Source organism: Homo sapiens, chromosome X (assembly GCF_000001405.40).
Source record: "Homo sapiens chromosome X, GRCh38.p14 Primary Assembly".
Taxonomy (NCBI): domain Eukaryota; kingdom Metazoa; phylum Chordata; class Mammalia; order Primates; family Hominidae; genus Homo; species Homo sapiens.
The window spans coordinates 56,643,981-56,663,547 of NC_000023.11; positions in this window are offsets into that span (position 1 = coordinate 56,643,981).

The following is a 19,567-nucleotide window of genomic DNA, read 5'->3' on the forward strand; positions in this document are numbered from 1 at the left end:
CCATGTTTTCATAACAAGATAATGTTCACCCCATAGAATGAGTTGAGAAAGAGACCATCTCTCTCAGTTTTTGGAAGAGTTTCAGTAGGAATTGTACCAGCTCTTCTTTGTACATCTGGTAGCATCTGGCTGTGAATTCATCTGGTCCTGGGCTTTTCTTTGTTGTTAGGCTATTTGTTATTGATTCAATTTCAGAGCTCATTATTGATCTTTTCAAGTAATTAATGTCTTTTTGATTCTGTGTTGGGAAGTTTTATGTGTCCAGGAATTTATCCGTCTCTTCTAGGTTTTCTAGTTTGTGTGCATAGAGGTGTTTGTAGTAGTTTCTGGTGCTTATTTTTATTTCAGTTGGGTCAGTGATACTATCCTATTCATCATTTCTAATTGCTTTTACTTGAATTTTCTCCCCTTTCTTTTTTAGTAGTCTAGGTAGTGGCCTATCTTATTAGTTATATATACAAAACCAACTCCTAGATTTGTTGATTTTTTTGAATGGCTTTTCATGTCCCAATTTCCTTCTGTTCATCTTGATTTTGGTTACTTCTTGTCATCTGCTGGGTTTGGGGTTGATTTGTTCTTCTTTCGCTAATTCTTTCAGTTGCCATGTTAAGTTGTTAACTTGAGATATTTCTATCTTTTTTATGTGAGTATTTAGTGCTACGAATTTCCCTCTTAACACTGCCTTAATGGTGTCCCAGAGATTCTGGTATGTTGTATCTTTGTTCTCATTAGTTTCAAAAAAATTTCTTGATTTCTGCCTTAATTTCATTATTCACCCATAAATAATTCAGGAGCATGTTATTTGATTTTTATGTAATTGCATGGATTTGAGCAACATTTTTTAGCCTTGACTTCTATTATTATTGTGCTGTGGACTGAGATTGTGTTTGGTATGATTTTTGAATGATTGCAATTCCTGATTTTTTCTGTTTTCTATTCTTTTGTTTTCATTTGCCTTTGCTGAAGATTGTTTTATACCCAACTATGTGGTAGAATTTACAGTATGTGCCATGTGATGATGGGAAGAATGTATATTCCGTTATTTTGCATGGAGCGTTCTTAGAGGTCTATCAGATCCATTTGGTCCAATGTTAAGTTCAGGTTCTCAATATGCTTGTTAATTTTCTGCCTCAGTAATCTGTCTGATACTGTCTGTGAACTGTGAAATCTCCCACTATAATTGTGTGAGAGTCTACATCTCTTTGTACATCTGTAAAAATTTGCTTTATGAATCTGGGTGCTCCTATGTTGTTTGCATATGTATTTAAGATAGCTAAGTCTTCCTGTTGAATTAAACTCTTTATTATTATGTAATGCCCTTCTTTGTCTTTTGTTATCTTTGTTGGTTTCAAGTCTGTTTTTTTCTGAAGTTAGAATCGCAATACCTGATTTTTTCTGTTTTCTATTAGCTTGATAGATTTTTTTCCCCATCCACTTATTGTGAGCCTATGGGTTTGAGCCTATGTGTGAGATGGGTCTGCTAAAGACAGCATACAATTGGGTCCTGATTTTTTATCCAGCTTCCAATTCTGTGTGTTTTATTTGTTTTTTTACAGAATACGCATTTTTATTGAAATTATCTTTTAATATATATATCCAACAGCAGAGTATGAGAGTATGCATTTCCCATATTATTGACAAATTTTATATTATCACATTTAAAAATGTTGCCATTCTGATGGGTAAATGTAAACGTGTACCATGGTGGTTTGCTGCTCAAATCATCCCATCACCTAGATATTAAGCCCAGAATCCATTAGCTATTCTTCCTGATACTGTTACTCCCCCCACTGACCCCCAGCAGGACCCAGTGTTTGTTGTTGCCCTTCCATGTGTCCATGTGTTCTTATCATTCAGCTCCCATTTATAAGTGAGAATATTCAGTGTCTGATTTTCTGTTCCTGCATTAGTTTGCTAAGGATAATGGCATCCAACTCTATCCATGTTCCTGCAAAAAATATACTCTTGTTCCTTTTCATGGACGCATGGTATTCCATCTTGTATATGTACCACATTTTGTATCCAGTCTATCATTCATGGTCATTTGGGTTGATTCCATGTCTTTGCTATTGGAAATAGTGTTGCAATAAACATATGCATGCATGTGTTTTATAGTAGAATAATTTATATTCTTTTGGGTATATATCCAGTAATGGGATTGCTGGGTCCAATGGTATTTCTGCCTCTAGGTCTTTGAGAAATCACCACACTGTCTACCACAATGTTTGAACTAATTTACAGTCCCACAGTGTAAAAGCTTTCCTTTTTCTCTGCAACCTCACCAATGTCTATTGTTTGCTGACTTTTTAATAATCACCATTCTGACTTGAATGACATGGTATCTCATGGTGGTTTTGATTTGCATTCCTCTAATAATCAGTTATGTTGAACTTTTTTTTAATTTTTTTATTATTATACTTTAAGTTTTAGGGTACATGTGCACAATGTGCAGGTTAGTTACATACGTATACATGTGCCATGCTGGTGTGCTGCACCCACTAACTCGTCATCTAGCACTAGGTATATCTCCCAATGCTATCCCTCCCCCCAGCCCCTACCCCACAACAGTCTGCAGAGTGTGATGTTCCCCTTCCTGTGTCCATGTGTTCTCATTGTTCAATTCCTACCTATGAGTGAGAATATGCGGTGTTTGGTTTTTTGTTCTTGCAATAGTTTACTGAGAATGATGATTTCCAATTTCATCCATGTCCCTACAAAGGACATGAACTCATCATTTTTTATGGCTGCATAGTATTCCATGGTGTATATGTGCCACATTTTCTTAATCCAGTCTATCATTGTTGGACATTTGGCTTGGTTCCAAGTCTTTGCTATTGTGAATAGTGCTGCAATAAACATACGTGTGCATGTGTCTTTATAGCAGCATGATTTATAGTCCTTTGGGTATATACCCAGTAATGGGATGGCTGGGTCAGATGGTATTTCTAGTTCTAGATCTCTGAGGAATCCCCACACTGACTTCCACAATGGTTGAGCTAGTTTACAGTCCCACCAACAGTGTAAAAGTGTTCCTATTTTTCCACATCCTCTCCAGCACCTGTTGTTTCCTGACTTTTTAATGATTGCCATTCTAACTGGTGTGATATGATATCTCATTGTGGTTTTGATTTGCATTTCTCTGATGGCCAGTGATGGTGAGCATTTTTTCATGTTTTTGACTGCATAAACGTCTTCTTTTGAGAAGTGTTTGTTCATGCCCTTTGCCGACTTTTTGATGGGGTTGTTTGTTTTTTTCTTGTAAATTAGTTTGAGTTCATTGTAGATTCTGGATATTAGCCCTTTGTCAGATGAGTAGGTTGCAAAAATTTTCTCACATTTTGTAGATTGCCTGTTCACTCTGATGGTAGTTTCTTTTGCTGTGCAGAAGCTCTTTAGTTGAATTAGATCCCATTTGTCAATTTTGGCTTTTGTTGCCATTGCTTCTGGTGTTTCAGACATGAAGTCCTTGTCCATGCCTATGTCCTGAATGGTAATGCCTAGGTTTTCTTCTAGGGTTTTTATGGTTTTAGGTCTAATATGTAAGTCTTTAATCCATCTTGAATTAATTTTTGTATAAGGTGTAAGGAAGGGATCCAGTTTCAGCTTTTTACATATGGCTAGCCAGTTTTCCCAGCACCAATACAGAGAGGTGCTTAAAGGAGCTAATGTAGCTGAAAGCCAAGTCTCGAGAACTACGTGAGAAATGCAGAAGCCTCAGGAGCCGATGCGACCAACTGGAAGATACGGTATCAGCGATGGAAGATGAAATGAATGAAATGAAGTGAGAAGGGAAGTTTAGAGAAAAAAGAATAAAAAGAAATGAACAAAGCCTCCGAGAAATATGGGACTATGTGAAAAGACCAAATCTACATCTGACTGGCGTACCTGAAAGTGATGGGGAGAATGGATCCAAGTTGGAAAACACTCTGCAGGATATTATCCAGGAGAACTTCCCCCATCTAGCAAGGCAGGCCAACATTCAGATTCAGGAAATACAGAGAATGCCACAAAGATACTCCTCGAGAAGAGCAACTCCAAGACACATAATTGTCAGATTCACCAAAGTTGAAATGAAGGAAAAAATGTTAAGGGCAGCCAGAGAGAAAGGTCAGGTTACCCACAAAGGGAAGCCCATCAGACTGACAGCGGATGTCTCGGTATAAATTCTACAAGCCAAAAGAGAGTGAGGGCCAATATTCAACATTCTTAAAGAAAAGTATTTTCAACTCAGAATTTCATATCCAGCCAAACTAAGCTTCATAAGTGAAGGAGAAATAAAATACTTTACGGACAAACAAATGCGGAGAGATTTTGTCACCACCAGGCCTGTCCTAAAACATCTCCTGAAGGAAGCACTAAACATGGAAAGGAGCAACCGGTACCAGCCGCTGCAAAATCATGCGAAAATGTAAAGACCGTCGAGACTAGGAAGAAACTGCATGAACTAACGAGCAAAATAACCAGCTAATATCATAATGACAGGATCAAATTCCCACATAACAATATTAACTTTAAATGTAAATGGGCTAAATGCTCCAATTAAAAGACATAGACTGGCAAATTGGATAAAGAGTCAAGACCCATCAGTGTGCTGTATTCAGGAAACCCATCTCACGTGCAGAGACACACATGGGCTCCAAATAAAAGGATGGAGGAAGATCCACCAAGCAAATGGAAAACAAAAAAAGGCAGGGGTTGCAATCCTAGTCTCTGATAAAACAGACTTTAAACCAACAAAGATCAGAAGAGACAAAGAAGGCCATTACATAATGGTAAAGGGATCAATTCAACAAGAAGAGCTAACTATCCTAAATATATATGCACACAATACAGGAACACCCAGATTCATAAAACAAGTCCTGAGTGACCTACAAATAGACTTAGACTCCCACACGTTAATAATGGGAGACTTTAACACCCCACTGTCAACATTAGACAGATCAACAAGACAGAAAGTTAACAAGGATACCCAGGAATTGAACTCAGCTCTGTACCAAGCGGACCTAATAGATATCTACAGAACTCTCCATCCCAAATCAACAGAATGTACATTTTTTCAGCACCACACCACACCTATTCCAAAATTGACCACATAGTTGGAAGTAAAGCTCTCCTCAGCAAATGTAAAAGATCAGAAATTATAACAAACTATCTCTCAGACCACAATGCAATCAAACTAGAACTTAGGATTAAGAAACTCACTCAAAACCGCTCAACTACATGGAAACTAAACAACCTGCTCCTGAATGACTACTGGGTACATAACGAAATGAAGGCAGAAACAAAGATGTTCTTTGAAACCAACAAGAACAAAGACACAACATACCAGAATCTCTGAGACACATTCAAAGCAGTGTGTAGAGGGAAATTTATAGCACTAAATGCCCACAAGATAAAGCAGAAAAGATCCAAAATTGACACCCTAGCATTACAATTAAAAGAACTAGAAAAGCAAGAGCAAACACATTCAAAAGCTAGCAGAAGGCAAGAAATAACTAAATTCAGAGCAGAACTGAAGGAAATACATTGAACTTTTAAAAATGTTTTTGTTGGCTGCTTGTATGTCTTCTTTTGAGAAGTGCCTGTTTATGTCCTTTGCCCACTTTTTATTTTATTTGTTTATTTATTTATTTAGAGATGGAGTCACACTTTGTTGCTCAGTCTGGAGTGCAGTGGTGCAATCTCGGCTCACTGCAACCTCTACCTGCCAGGTTTAAGCAATTCTCCTGCCTCAGCCTCTCAAGTAGCTGAGATTAAAGATGTGTGCCACCACACCTGGCTAATTTTTTGTATTATTAGTTGAGGTGGGGTTTCACCATGTTAGCCAGGATGGTCTCGATCTCCTGACCTCATGATCTGCCTGCCTCAGTCTCCCAAAGTGCTGGGATTACAGGCATGAGCCACCATGCATGGCCCCTTTGCCCACTTTTTAATGGGGCTGTTTGTTTTTCTCTTGTAAATTGTTTAAGTTCCTTATGGACTCTGGATATTAGACCTTTGTTAGATGTATAGATTGCAAAAATTTTCTCCCATTCTGTAGGTTGTCCACTGCTCATGATAGTTTATTTTGCTGTGCAGAAGCTCTTTATTAGATACCACATGTCAATTTTTGCTTTCGTTGCAATTTATTTTGATGTTTTCATTATAAAATCTTAGCCTGTGTCTATATCCTGAATGACATTGCCTAGGTTTACTTCTAGGGTTTTTATAATTAAGGGTCTTACATTTAAGTCTTAAATCCATCTTAACTAAATTGTTTTATATTGTGTGAGGAAAGGGCCCAGTTTCAAATTTCTAAGTATAGATATCCAGTTCTCCCAGCACCCTTTATTAAATAGAGAACTATTTCCCCATTGCTTGTTTTTATCAGGTTTGTTGAAGATCATATGTTTGTAAGTTTGTGGTACATTTCGGAGTTCTCTATTCTGTTCCAAATATTTATGTGTCTGTTCTTGTACCAGTACCATGTTCTTTTGGTTGCTGTAGACTTGTAATATTGTTTGAAGTCCTGTAACATGATTCCTCCAGCTTTGTTCTTTCTTCTTAGGATTGTCTTGGTTATATGAACTCTTTTTTGGTTTCATATGAATTTTAAAATAGTTTCTTGTAATTCTGTGAAAACTGTCAATGACAGTTTAATGGGAATAACATGGAATTTATAAATTATTCTGGGCAGTATGGCCAATTTCATGACACTGATTCTTTATATCCATGAGCATGGAATTTTTTTTTATTTGTTTGTGTCCTTCCTGATTTCCTTGAGCAGTGCTTTGTAGTTATCCTTGAAGAGGTTCTTCAGTTCACTGTTTAGCTGTATTCTTAGGTATTTTATTCTTTTTGTAGCAAATGTGAATGAAAATTCATTCATAATTTGGCCCTCTTCTTGCCTGTTTTTGGAATATAAAAATGCTAGCGATTTTTGCACATTGATTTTGTACACCCAGATTGCTGAAGTTGCTTATCAGCTTAAGATTTTAGCTAAGGTGATGGGGTTTTCTAGATATAGAATCATGTCATCTGCAAACAAAGATAATCAGACTTCCTCTCTACCTGATTGAATAACTTTTATTTATTTCTCTTGCCTGATTGCCCTGGCCAGAACTTCCAATATTATTTTAATAGAAGTGGTGAGATAAGGCATTCTTGTCTTGTGTCAGTTTTCAAGAGGAATGCTTCCAGCTTTTGCCTACTCAGTATGATATTGGCTGTGCGTTTCTTATATATAGCTCTTATTATTTTGAGGTACATTCTTTCAATACCTAGTTTATTGAGAGTTTTTTAAATGAAGGGATGCTGAATTTCATTGAAGGCTTTTTCTGCATCTATTGAGATAATACTGTGGTTTTTTGTCTTTAGTTATGTTTGTGTACTAAATCAAATTTATTGACTTGCATACGTTGAACCAACTGTGTATTCCAGGGTTAAAGCCAACTTGATCATGGCGGACATGGTTTTTCATATGCTGCTGAATTCCATTTGCTAGTATTTTATTGAGGATTTTTGCACTGATGTTTATCAAGGATATTGGCCTGAGGTTTTCTTTTTTTTTACATTTCTGTCACATTTTGGTATCAGGATAATCCTGGCCTCATAGAATGAGTTAGGGAGAAGTCCTTCTTTTTTTTTTTTTTGATTTTTTGGAATAGTCACAGTAGAAATGGTACCAGCTCTTCTTAGTACCTCTCATAGAATTGAGCTGTGAATCCATCTGTTTCTGGGCTTCTTTTGGTTGGTAGGTATTTATTACTGCCTCTATTTCAGAATTCATTATTGGTCTCTTCAGGGATTTAGCTTCCTCCTGGTTCAGTAGTGAGAGGGTGGATGTGTTCAGGAATACATCAATTTCTTCTAGATTTTCTAGTTTATGTGTATAGAGGTGTTTATAGTATACTGTGATTGTTGTTTATTTCTGTTGCATTAGTGGTGATATCCCCCTTATCTTTTCGGATTGTGCTTAATTGATACTTTTCTGTTCTCTTCTTTATTAGTCTAGCTAGCAATCTATCTATTTCATTAATCAAAAAAAAAAAAACCTACTGGATTTATTGATTTTTTTGAAGAGTTTTTGTGTCTCTATCTCCTCTCTATGAACAAAGTTCAGCTGTGATCTTTGTTATTTCTTGTCTTCTGCTAGCTTTGGGGTTTGCTTGCTCTTGGTTCTCTAGTTCTTTTAGGTGAGATGCCAGGTTGTTAACATGAGATCTTTCTAGCTTTTTGATGTGGGCAATTGGTGCTATAAATTTCCCTCTTAACATGGCTTAAGCTGTGTCCCAAAGATTCTGATACGTTTTCTCTTTGGTCTCATTGGTTTTAAAGAACTACTTAATTTCTGCCTTAATTTTATTATCGACCCAAGAGTCCTTCAGGAGCATGTTGTTCAATGTCCATGTAGTTGTTTGGTTTTGACTGAATTTTTTAAATCTTGAGTTCTAATTTTATTGTGCTATGGTCTGAGAGACTGCTTGTTATGATATCATTTCTTTTGCATTTGCTGAGGAATACTTGACTTCTGATTATGTGATGAATTTCAGAGTAAGTGCTATGTGGCAATGAGAAAAATCTGTATTTTGTTGTTTTTAGGTGAAGAGTTCTGCAGATTATCAGGCCCACTTGATCCACAGCTGCATTTAGGTCCTTAATCCTTTTGTTAATTTTCTGTCTTAATGATTTGCTAATATTGTCAGTGGCGGTGTTAATGTCTCCCACTATTAAGTCTCTTTATAAATTTCTAAAAACTTGCTTTATAAATCTGGCTACTCCTATATTGGGTGCATATATATTTAGGATAGTTAGCTATTCTTGTTGAATTGAACACTTTCCCACTATGTAATGTCATTTTTTGTCTTTTTGTGATCTTTGTTGGTTTAAAATCTGTTTTGTCAGAAACTAGGATTGCAACCCCTGCTTTTTTGTTTTCCATTTGCTTGGTAAAATTTTCTTCATCCCTTTATTTTGAATCTTTGCATGTGAGATGGGTCTCTTGAAGACAACATACCAATGGGTCTTGGCTCTTTGTCTAGCTTGCCATTATGTGTGTTTCAACTGGGGCATTTGGATCACTTACATTCAAGGTTAGTGTTGTGATGTGTGAATTTGATTCTGTCATCCTGATGTTAACTGTTTATTTTGCAGACTCTTTTATGTGGTTGCTTCATAGTTTTACTTTTCTGTGTACTTTAGTGTGTTTTGTAGTGGCTGGTAATGGATTTTTCTTTCCATATTTAGTGCTTCCTTCAGTAGCTCTTTTAAGGCAGGCCTGGTGGTGACAAATTCCTTCTGCCTTTGCTTGTCTGAAAAGGATCTTATTTCCCTTTTGCTTATGAAGCTTAATTGGCTGCATATAAAATTCTGGGTTGGAAATTTCTTTTTTTAAGAATATTGAATATTGGCCCCTAATCTCTTCTGGCTTGTAGGGTTTCCTCTGAGAAGTTCACTGTTAGTCTGATGGGTTTCCCTTTGTAGGTGAGCTGGCCTTTCTCTCTGGTGCCCCTAACATTTTTTCTTTTATTATGACCTTGTATAATCTGATGATTATGTGTCTTGGTGTTGATCTACTCATGGAGTATGTTACTGGGGTTTTCAGCATTTCCTAAATTTGAATGTTGGCCTGTTTTCCTATGTTGATGAAGTTCTACTGGATGATTTCCCAAAGTATGTTTTTCAACTTGGTTCCATTCTCCCCATCTCTTTCAAGTACCCCAATTAGTCATAGGTTCATTCTCTTTACATAATCTCATGTTTCTCAGAGGTTTTGTTCATACATTTTCATTCTTTTTTATTGTTGTCTGCCTGTCTCATTTCAAAAAATAATCCTCAAGCTCTAACATTCTTTCCTTTGCATACTCATTTCTACTAGTGATACTTGAGATTGCATTGTGAAGTTCTTGTGCTTTTCATCTCCATCAGGTCATTTATGTTTCTCTCAAAATTGGCTATTCCATCTATCACCTCCTGTGTTATTTTATTATAATTCTTAGCTTATTTGCATTAGGTTACAACATGCTCCTTTAACTCAGAAAACTTTGTTATTATCTACTTTCTGAAGCCTACTTCTGTCAATTCTGCCATCTCAACCTCAGCCCAGTTCTGTGCCCTTGCTGCAGAGGTGTTGTGGTCACTTGGAGAAAAGGGAGCATTCTGACTTTTTGAGTTTTCAGCATTTTTATGTTGATTGTTTCTCATCTTTCTGGGCTTATCTACCTGCAAACTTTGAAGTTGCTGACCTTTGGATGAGGTTTTTGTGGGGTCTTTTTTATTTATATTGTTGTTGTTTATTTCTGTTTGTTTGTTTTCCTTTTCACAGTCAGGCCACTCTACCAGAGAACTGCTGTGGTTTTCTGGAGGTCCACTTCAGATTCTAGTTGCCTCAGTCCTTCCCATTCCAGGAGGGATCACCAGTGAAGTCTGCAAAACTGCAAAGATGACAGCCAGCTTCTTTATCTGGAATCTCCATCCCAGTGTGGTACTGACATTTTTTCTGGCCTGAATGCACCAGTATGAAGTGGCTGGAGACCCCTGTTCAGAAATCTTACCTAGTCAAGAGGAAATGGATCAGAGACTTGCCTAAATAAGTAGTCTGGCTGCTATGGTAGTCCAGTTGTGCTGTGTTGCGGGGTACCCTTTCTTGTCTTGACCATTTATGTTCTCCAAAGCTGGCCGACTGGAACAACTAAGTCAACTGAATTGCAAAAATGGCAGCTGCTCCTCTCCCTGTGAGCTCTTACCCAGGGAGAGATCAGAGCTCTGTACATAGAACCATGGCCAGAGTGGCTGAAGCCCCCACATAGAGGTCCTGCTCAGTGAGCAGCAATGAACCAAGGTCCTGCTTAAGGAAGCAGTCTGGCCATAATCTGACAAGGAAGCTGTGCTACATTTTGAGTGACCCTTCCTCTTTTGGACCATTTGTATTCTCTAAAGCTGCAGGCTGGAAAATCTGAGTCTACCAAACCACAGTAATGGTTGCAGCCCCTCTCCCTGGGAACTTAAACCTGTCTCAGGCAGATTCTAGCCTGTTGCCTTTGGCTGGCTGGAATTCTAAATCAGAGGGTCTTAACTTGTGAGGTGCTGTAAAGTGGGGCCTGAAGAATGATGATTCTTGGCTCCCCAGAATCAGCCCACTTTCTATGGATATGGATGGATGGATTTTTCACTTTGCTAGTGATTCTGGGGCAAGAATATGTAAAATTCCTGGGTCCTTGTGTTTGCCTGAGTGGCTGCACTACTGAGACTTTACACAGCTCTGTGTATTGCACCCAAGGCCCTGGTAATGTGGGCTTGTGATGGTATCTCCTGATCTGTGGGTTGCTAAGATCCATGAGAGAAGCATAATTACCTGGGCTGGGTCACACAATCACTCACTGCTTCCCTTGGTTGGGCATGGGGGTTCCTTTGGCTCCATGGACCATTGCTCCCTCTGCTTTTCTTCATTATCTGTGGGTTGAGTTGTTTGCCTAGTCAGGCCCAATGCAAGAACCAGAATATATCAGTTGAAGGTGTTGAATTAACTTGCCTCTTTTTATTTCTCTCTGTGAGTACCCTAGACCATAGCTAATTGGCCATCTTGGATTCTCACTGTATTTTTAAATGGGGCATTTACATCAAGGCTTACTGTTTACATCAAGGTTAGTATTGATAAGTGTGGGTTTTATCCTGTCATTGTGTCATTAGCTGGTTTTCATGCTGACTTTTTGTGTATTTGCTTTACAGTGTCATTGGTCTATATATTTAAGTGTGCTTTTGTTTTAGCTGGTAGTGGTCTTTCCTTTCTGTATTCAGTGCTCTTTTCAAGATCAGTTTGTTCTGGTAGTAACAAGCATTCTCAACATTTGCTTATCTAAAAAGGATCTTTTGTTATTTTACTTTAAGTTCCAGGATACACGTATAGAAATTGCAGGTTTGTTACATAGGTGTACATGTGTCATGGTGGTTTGCTGCACCTATTAACCCACCATCTAGATTTTAAGCCCCACATGCATTAGGTATTTGTCCTAATGCTCTCCCACCTCTTGACCACCACCCCATGACAGGCCCCAGTGTGTGACGTTCCCCTCTCTGTGTTCATGTGTTCTCATTGTTCAACTCCTACTTATGAGTGAGAACATGTGGTGTTTAGTTTTCTGTTCCTGTGTTAGTTTGCTGAAAATGATGGCTTGCAGCTTCATCCATGTCCCTGCAAAGGATATTAACTCATTCATGTTTGTGCCTGCGTAGTATTCCATGGTGTACATGTACCACATTTTTTTTTATCCACTCTATTATTTGTGGGCATTTAGGCTGGTTCCAAGTCTTTGCTATTGTAAATAGTGCTGCAATAATCATACATGGGCATGTGTCTTTATAGTAGAATGATTTATAATCCTTTGGGTATATATTCAGTAATGGGATCGCTAGGTCAAATGGTAATTCTGGTTCTAGATACTTGAGGAATCACCAAACTGTCTTCCACAATGGTTGAACTAATTTACACTCCCACCAAGAGTGTGAAAGTATTTCTATTTCTCCATATCCTCACCAGCAACTGTTGTTTCCTGACTTTTTAATAATTGCCATTCTAACTGATGTGAGATGGTATCTCGTTGTGGTTTTGATTTACATTTCTCCAATGACCAATGATGATGAGTTTTTTTTCATATGTTTGCTAACCGCATAAATGTCTTCCTTTGAGATGCATCTGTTCATATACTTCGCCCACTTTTTGATGGGGTTGTTTGTTTTTTTCTTGTAAATTTGTTTAAGTTTCTTGTAGAGTCTGGATATTAGATCTTTGTCAGATGAGGAGCTTGCAAAAATTTTCTCCCATTCTGTAGGTTGCCTGTTCACTGTGATGATAGTTTCTTTTGCTGTGTAGAAGCTCTTTAGTTTGATTAGATCCCATTTGTTAATTTTGGCTTTTGTTGCAATTGCTTTTGGTATTTTAGTCATGAAGTTTTGCCCATGCCTATTTCCTGAATGGTATTGCCTAGGCGTTCTATTTTTTTTCTTTAATTTCACTTTAAATTCTGGAATACATGTGAAGAATGTGCAGGCTTGTTACACAGGTATACATGTGCCATAGTGGTGTGCTGCACCTATCAACCCATCATCTATGTTTTAAGCCCTGCATGCATTAGGGGTTTGTCCTATTGCTCTCTCTCCCCTTACTCCCCACCCCCTGACAGGCCCTGGTGTGTGATTTTCCCCTCCCTGTGTCCATGTGTTCTCATTGTTCAACTCCCACTTATAAGTGGGAACATGCAGTGGTTGATTTTCTATTCCCATGTTAGTTTGCTGAGGATGATGGTTTCCAGCTTCATCCATGTCCCTGAAAAGGACATTAACTCATTCTTTTTTATAGCTGTATAGTATTCCATGATGTATATGTGCTACATCTACTTTATCCAGTCTATCATTGATGGGGATTTGGATTTGGTTCCAAGTCTTTGCTACTGTAAATAGTGCTGCAATAAAATACATCTTTATAATAGAATAATTTCTAATCCTTTGGGTATATACCCAGTAATGGGATTGCTGAGTCAAATGGTATTTCTGGTTCCAGATCCTTGAGGAATTGCCACACTGTCTTCCACAGTGGGTGAACTAATTTATACTCCCACCAACAGTGTAAAAGTCTTTCTACTTCCTCACATCCTTTGTTTCAACCTTGGAGAAGCTGATGATTATGTGTCTTAGGCTTGCACTTTTGAGGAGTAGCTTAGTGGTGTTCTCTGTATTTGCTGAGTTTTAATGTTGGCCTGTCTTGCTAGGTTGAGGAAGTTCTCCTGTGTTTTCCAATTTGCTTCCATTCTCACCATAACTTTCAGGTACACCAATCAATCGTAAGTTTGGTCTTTGCACATAGTTTCATATTTCTTGGAGGCTTTGCTCATTCTTTGTTATTCTTTTTTCTCTAATCTTGTCTTCTTGCCTTATTTCAGAAAGTTGATCTCCAATCTCTAATATCTTTTCTTCTGCTTGATTGATTTGGCTACTGATACATGTGCATGCTTCACAAAGTTCTCGTGCTGTGTTTTTCAGCTCCATCAGGTCATTTATGTTTCTCTCGAAACTGGTTATTCCAGTTAGCAGTTCCTGTAACCTTTTATCGAGGTTCTTAGCTTCCTTTCATTGGGTTAGAAAATGCTCCTTTAGCTCAGAGGAGTTTGTTATTATCCACCTTCTGAAGCCTACTTATGTCAAATCGTCAATCTCATTTTCCATCCAGTTTTGTGTCCTTGCTGGAGAGAAGTTGTGATCATTTGGAGGAGAGGAAGCATTCTGGTTTTTGTAATTTTCAGCGTTTTTATGCTTTTTTTTTTTCTCATCTTTGTGCATTTATCTACCTTTGATCTTTGAGGCTGATGACCTTTGGATGGGGGTTTTATCTGGGTTCTTTATGTTGATGTTGGTGTTGTTGCTTTCTGTTTGTTAATTTTTCTTCTAACAATCAGGGCCCTCTTCTGCAGGTCTGCTGCAGTTTGCTAGAGGTCCACTTTAGACCCTGTTTGCCTGGGTATCACCAGTGGAGGCTGCAGAACAGCAAAGTTTGCTGGCTGCTCCTTCCTCTGGCAGCTTCATCCCAGAGGGGCCTGGCCTGATGACAGCCAGAGCTCTCCTGTATGAGGTGTCTGTTGACCCCTGTTGAGAGGTTTCTTCCAGTCAGGAGGCATGGGTGTCAGAGACGCACTTGAGGAGGCAAGCTGTCTCTTAGCAGAGCTTGTGCACTGTGCTGGGGAATCCCTGTTGTCAGGATCAGCTGCTGTCTTCAGAGCTGGCAGGCAGTAGCAGTTAAATCTGCTGAAACTGCACCCACAGCTGCCCCTTTCCCCAGGTGCTCTGTCCCAGGGAGATGAGGGTTTTGTCTCTAAGCCCTTGGCTGGGGCTGTTACCTTTCCTTCAGAGATGCCCTGCCCAGTGAGGAGGAATGTAGAGAAACAGTCTGGCCACAGACGCTTTTCTGTGCCCAGCCCAGACCTCCCAGCCTCCTTAGCACAGTCAGGGGAGAACTGCCTACTAAAGCCTCAGTAATGGTGGATGCCCCTCCCCCCACTGAGCTTGTTCGTCCCAGGTCAACTTCAGACTGCTCTGCTGGCAGCGAGAATTTCAAGCCAGTTGTTCTTAGCTTGCTGGGCTCCATGGGAGTGGGACCCACTGAGCAAGACCACTTGGCTCCCTGGCTTCAGTCCCCTTTCCAGGGGAGTGAATGGTCTGTCTCACTGGGGTTCCAGGCGCCATTGGGGTACAAAAAAAAACTGCAGTAAACTCGTGTCTGCCCAAACAGCCGCCCAGTTTTGTGCTTGAAACCCCGGGACCTTGTGGTGTAGGCACATGAGGGAGCCTCCTGATCTGAAGATTGCAAAAACCGTGGAAAAAGCGTAGTAACCTGGCTGTGTAGCACAGTCCCTCACGGCTTCCCTTGGCTTGGGGAGGGAAGGCCCTGGTTCCTTGCACTTCCCAGGTGAAGCGACACCCCACCCTGCTTCTGCTTGCCCTCTGTGGGTTGGATCCACTGCCTAACCAGTCCCAATGAGATGAACTGGGTACCTCAGTTGGAAATGCAGAAATCATCTGCCTTCTGCATTAGTTTCATTGGGCACTGCAGACCACAGCTGTTTCTATTTGGCCATCTTGTCCCCACCCCCTCTAAAAAGAATCTTATTTCTCCTTCCCTTAGGAATCTTAGTTTGGCTGGATATAAAGTTTTTGATTGAAGATACTTTTTCTTTGAGAATGTTGGATACAGGCCCACAATCTCTTCTGGCTTTTAGGTTTTTCAGCTAAGAGGTCTGTTGTTAGTCTGATGAGGATCCCTTTGAGGGCAACCTGCCCTTTCTCTCTAGCTGCCTTTTTCATTCTTTCCTTCATTTTAACTTGGGAAATTTAACTATTAGATGTCTTGGGAATGATCTTCTCATGTAGAATCTTGCAGGAGTTCTCTGTATTTTTTGAATTTGATTGGTGGCCTCTCTAGCAAGTTTGCAAAGTTTTCTTGGACAATATCTTGAAATATCTTTTCCACACTGTTTGCTTTCTCCCTCTCCCTTTCAGGGGTGCCAAGCATTCGTAGATTTAGCCTCTTTATATAATCCCATATTTCTTGGAGGTTTTGTTCATTCTTCATTTTTTATTTTCTATTTTTGTCTGACTGTCTTATTTCAGAGAGCTAGTCTTTAAGTTCTGAATTTCTTTTTCTCAGCTTGGTCTGTTCTGCTGTTAATACTTGTGATTTCATTGTGAAGTTATTTTATTGTGTTTTTTGACCCTTTCAGGTTTGTTGGCATATATATATATATATATATGTATATGTATATATACACACACACATATATATGTGTGTGTATATATACATATACATATATATATATATATATGTATACTATTTCATCGTTCAGCTCCTGTATTGTTTTATTGTAATTCTTAGTTTCTTTGGGTTGGGTTTTGCTGCCATACTGAATCTCAGTGATCCTTGTTTTTATCCATATTCCAAATTCTATTTCTGTCATTTCAGTCAGCTCTGCCTAGTTTAGATCTGTTGGAGAACTGGTGTGGTCATTTATAGGACATATGACACTTTGGCTATTTGAGTTACTGGAGTTTCTGCATGGGTTCTTTCTCATCTGTGCATGTGGGTGTTCTTTTAGCTGCAATGTAGATTGAGTAAAGTCAATAGACTTCTTTTCTGGATGTTTTTGCAGGGTCAAAACTTTGTGCCAGGTCTTTATTTGAAGCTGACTTCTTATATTTGCTTTCACTGGGAGGGTATTTCCATGAGTTATTTTTGGTGTTGAAGCTTTGGGAGCTTGATCCAGTAGTTGGTGCCTAGGCTTTTTGGTCAGTTGATAGACTGTTGTTCAGCTGTGTAGCTCCGCTATGTTTCCTCATAGTTTGCAACTGTATTCCATCTCAGATATCTAGAAGGGTGGGCTACTCTCCCCCGTGAGTGATGACTGTAGATTGTGGCCTGGTACTCCTGGGCTACCCAGTGAAACTCTGGGACAATTTCAAAATTTGTGTTCTTTCTCTAGCTTGGAAGCTGCAGATGAAGAGACTTTAGTAGTGGTTGTGGCCAAGGGCCTTCGCCTCTCTCCTAGGGCCTCCACCTCATGGAGTTGCTTGTCAGCAATCACTCAGTGAAATCAGCTCAGCATGAAGGGTCTGTGCTGTTTGGTGATGAGCAGGTGGAGAAGTAGTTGGATCCCATGGGAGATGGACTGGCCTCCTCTTCTTGGGTTGACTGCAGCTTGTTGGAGGTGTGGATAAGGCACTTAGTGTCTTTGCTCCTTCATTAGTATGAGGGTAGCAAGGGAAGTTTCACTGCAGAGGTGGTGGCAGAGAGGCTTTCAGTTCCCCAGGAGCTCTGTTCAAGGAGTTGCAGAGCTGCTAATGGCTCGATAACCCGGCAAGGGATGACTAGAGGCCAAGGCCTGGAGGATCTGCCTGGTGAAGAGTTATGGGAATGGGCACCCATGCAACAGTCTGTCCACTTTTGTTGTATGCCTTGTGTAATATGCTGGGGTTCTACTCCAGTCCATAGTCGCCTTGAATATTGCAGTACCTGGAGGTATTAACAGTGAAGGCTGTGAAACAGTCAAGGTGTCGGCCTTCCCTTTCCTCTGGGACCTCTGTTTCATGGATGTATGAACATGTTGCTGATCTAAACACACTTGTAGGAGGTGGATGGAGACCCTTGTTGGCAGGTCCCATCGAGTGAAGAGAAACATGATTGGGGACCCCCTTTAAAAAGCCGTCTGGCCACATTCTCCTAGAACAACTGTTCTGTGCTGGGGATCTACCCCAGCCCCTAGTGACCTAGGACTCTTCAAAACCTGAAGGTTGAAATGGCTATATCACCCAAGCAGCAAAGATCGAGGCCCACCCCTAACTCTAGGAGCTCCCTTCCAGGGAGGTTTGAAATCTCCATCAGGCAGAGAACACTGGGAGGTTTAGCTGGAAACCCTTGTTGGGAAGTGATATAATTTTCTGTGTCTCCACCCAAATCTCATCTTGAACTGTAGTTTCCATAATTTCCACATGTGGTGGGAAGGGCCTAGCGGGAGTTTATTGAATCATGTAGGCAGTTGTCTCATGCTGCTCTCATAATAGTGAGTGAGTTTTCATGAGAGCTGATGGCTTTGTAAGCTGACATGATTGTAATCTTCCTGAGGCCTCTCCAGCCATGCAGAACTACTGTAGGCCAATCAAACATCTTTTCTTTCTATTACTATTATTTTTTTAGATGGAGTTTCACTCTCGCTGCCCAGGTTGGAGTGCAATGGAGCGATCTCAGCTCACTGCAACCTCCACCTTCTGGTTTTAAGCGATTGTCCTGCCTCAGCCTCCTGAGTAGCTGGGATTACAGGTGCCTGCAACCACCCCCAGCTAATTTTTGTATTTTTAGAAGATACGGGGTTTCACCATGTTGACCGGGCTTGACTCGAACTCCTGACCTCATGATCCACCCGCCTCAGCCTCTGAAAGTGCTGGGATTAAAGGCATAAGCCACGGTGACTGGCCCTAAACCTCTTTCCTTTATAAATTATATAGTCTCAGGAATATCATTACTAACAGCATGAGAATGGAATAACACAGTAAATTTGTACCAGGAGTAGGATACTGCTATTAAGATACCCCAAAATGTGGAACAACTTTGGAATTGGGTAACAGACAGAGGTTGGGACAGTTTGGAGGGCTGAGAAAAAGACAGGAAGATGTGGGAAAGTTTGGATCTTCCTAAAGAAGTGTTGAATGGCTTTGACCAAAAAAAATAATAATAATAAAATCCAAGCTGAGGTAGTCTCAGATGGAGATAATAAACTGGTTGGAAACTGGAGCAAAGTTGACCTTTATGATGCTTTAGCAAAGAGACTGGCAGCATTTTGCCTCCGCCCTAGAGATCTGTGGAACTTTGAACCTGAGAGAGGTCATTTAGGGTATCTGGCAGAAGAAATTTCTTTCTTTTTTTTATTATTATACTTTCAGTTCTAGGGTACATGTGCACAACGTGCAGGTTTGTTACATATGTATACATGTGCCATGTTGGTGTGCTGCACCCGTTAACTCGTCATTTACATTAGGTATGTCTCCTAATGCTATGCCCCACCCCCAACCCACAACAGGCCCCAGTGTGTGATGTTCCCCACCCTGTGTCCACGTGTTCTCATTGTTCAATTCCGACCTATGAGAGAGAACATGTGGTGTTTGGTTTTCTGTCCTTGTGATAGTTTGTTGAGAATGATGGTTTCTAGCTTCATCCATGTAGCTACAAAGGACATGAACTCATCCTTTTTTATGGCTGCATAGTATTCCATGGTGTATATGTGCCACTTTTTCTTAATCCAGTCTATCATTGATGGACATTTGGGTTGCTTCCAAGTCTTTGCTATTGTGAATAGTGCCACAATAAACATACGTGTGCATGTATCTTTATAGCAGCATGATTTATAATCCTTCGGGTATATGCCCAGTAATGGGATGGCCAGGTCAAATGGTATTTCTAGTTCTAGATCCTTGAGGAATCACCACACTGACTTCCACAATTGTTGAACTAGTTTACAATCCCACCAACAGTGCAAAAGCTTTCCTATTTCTCCAC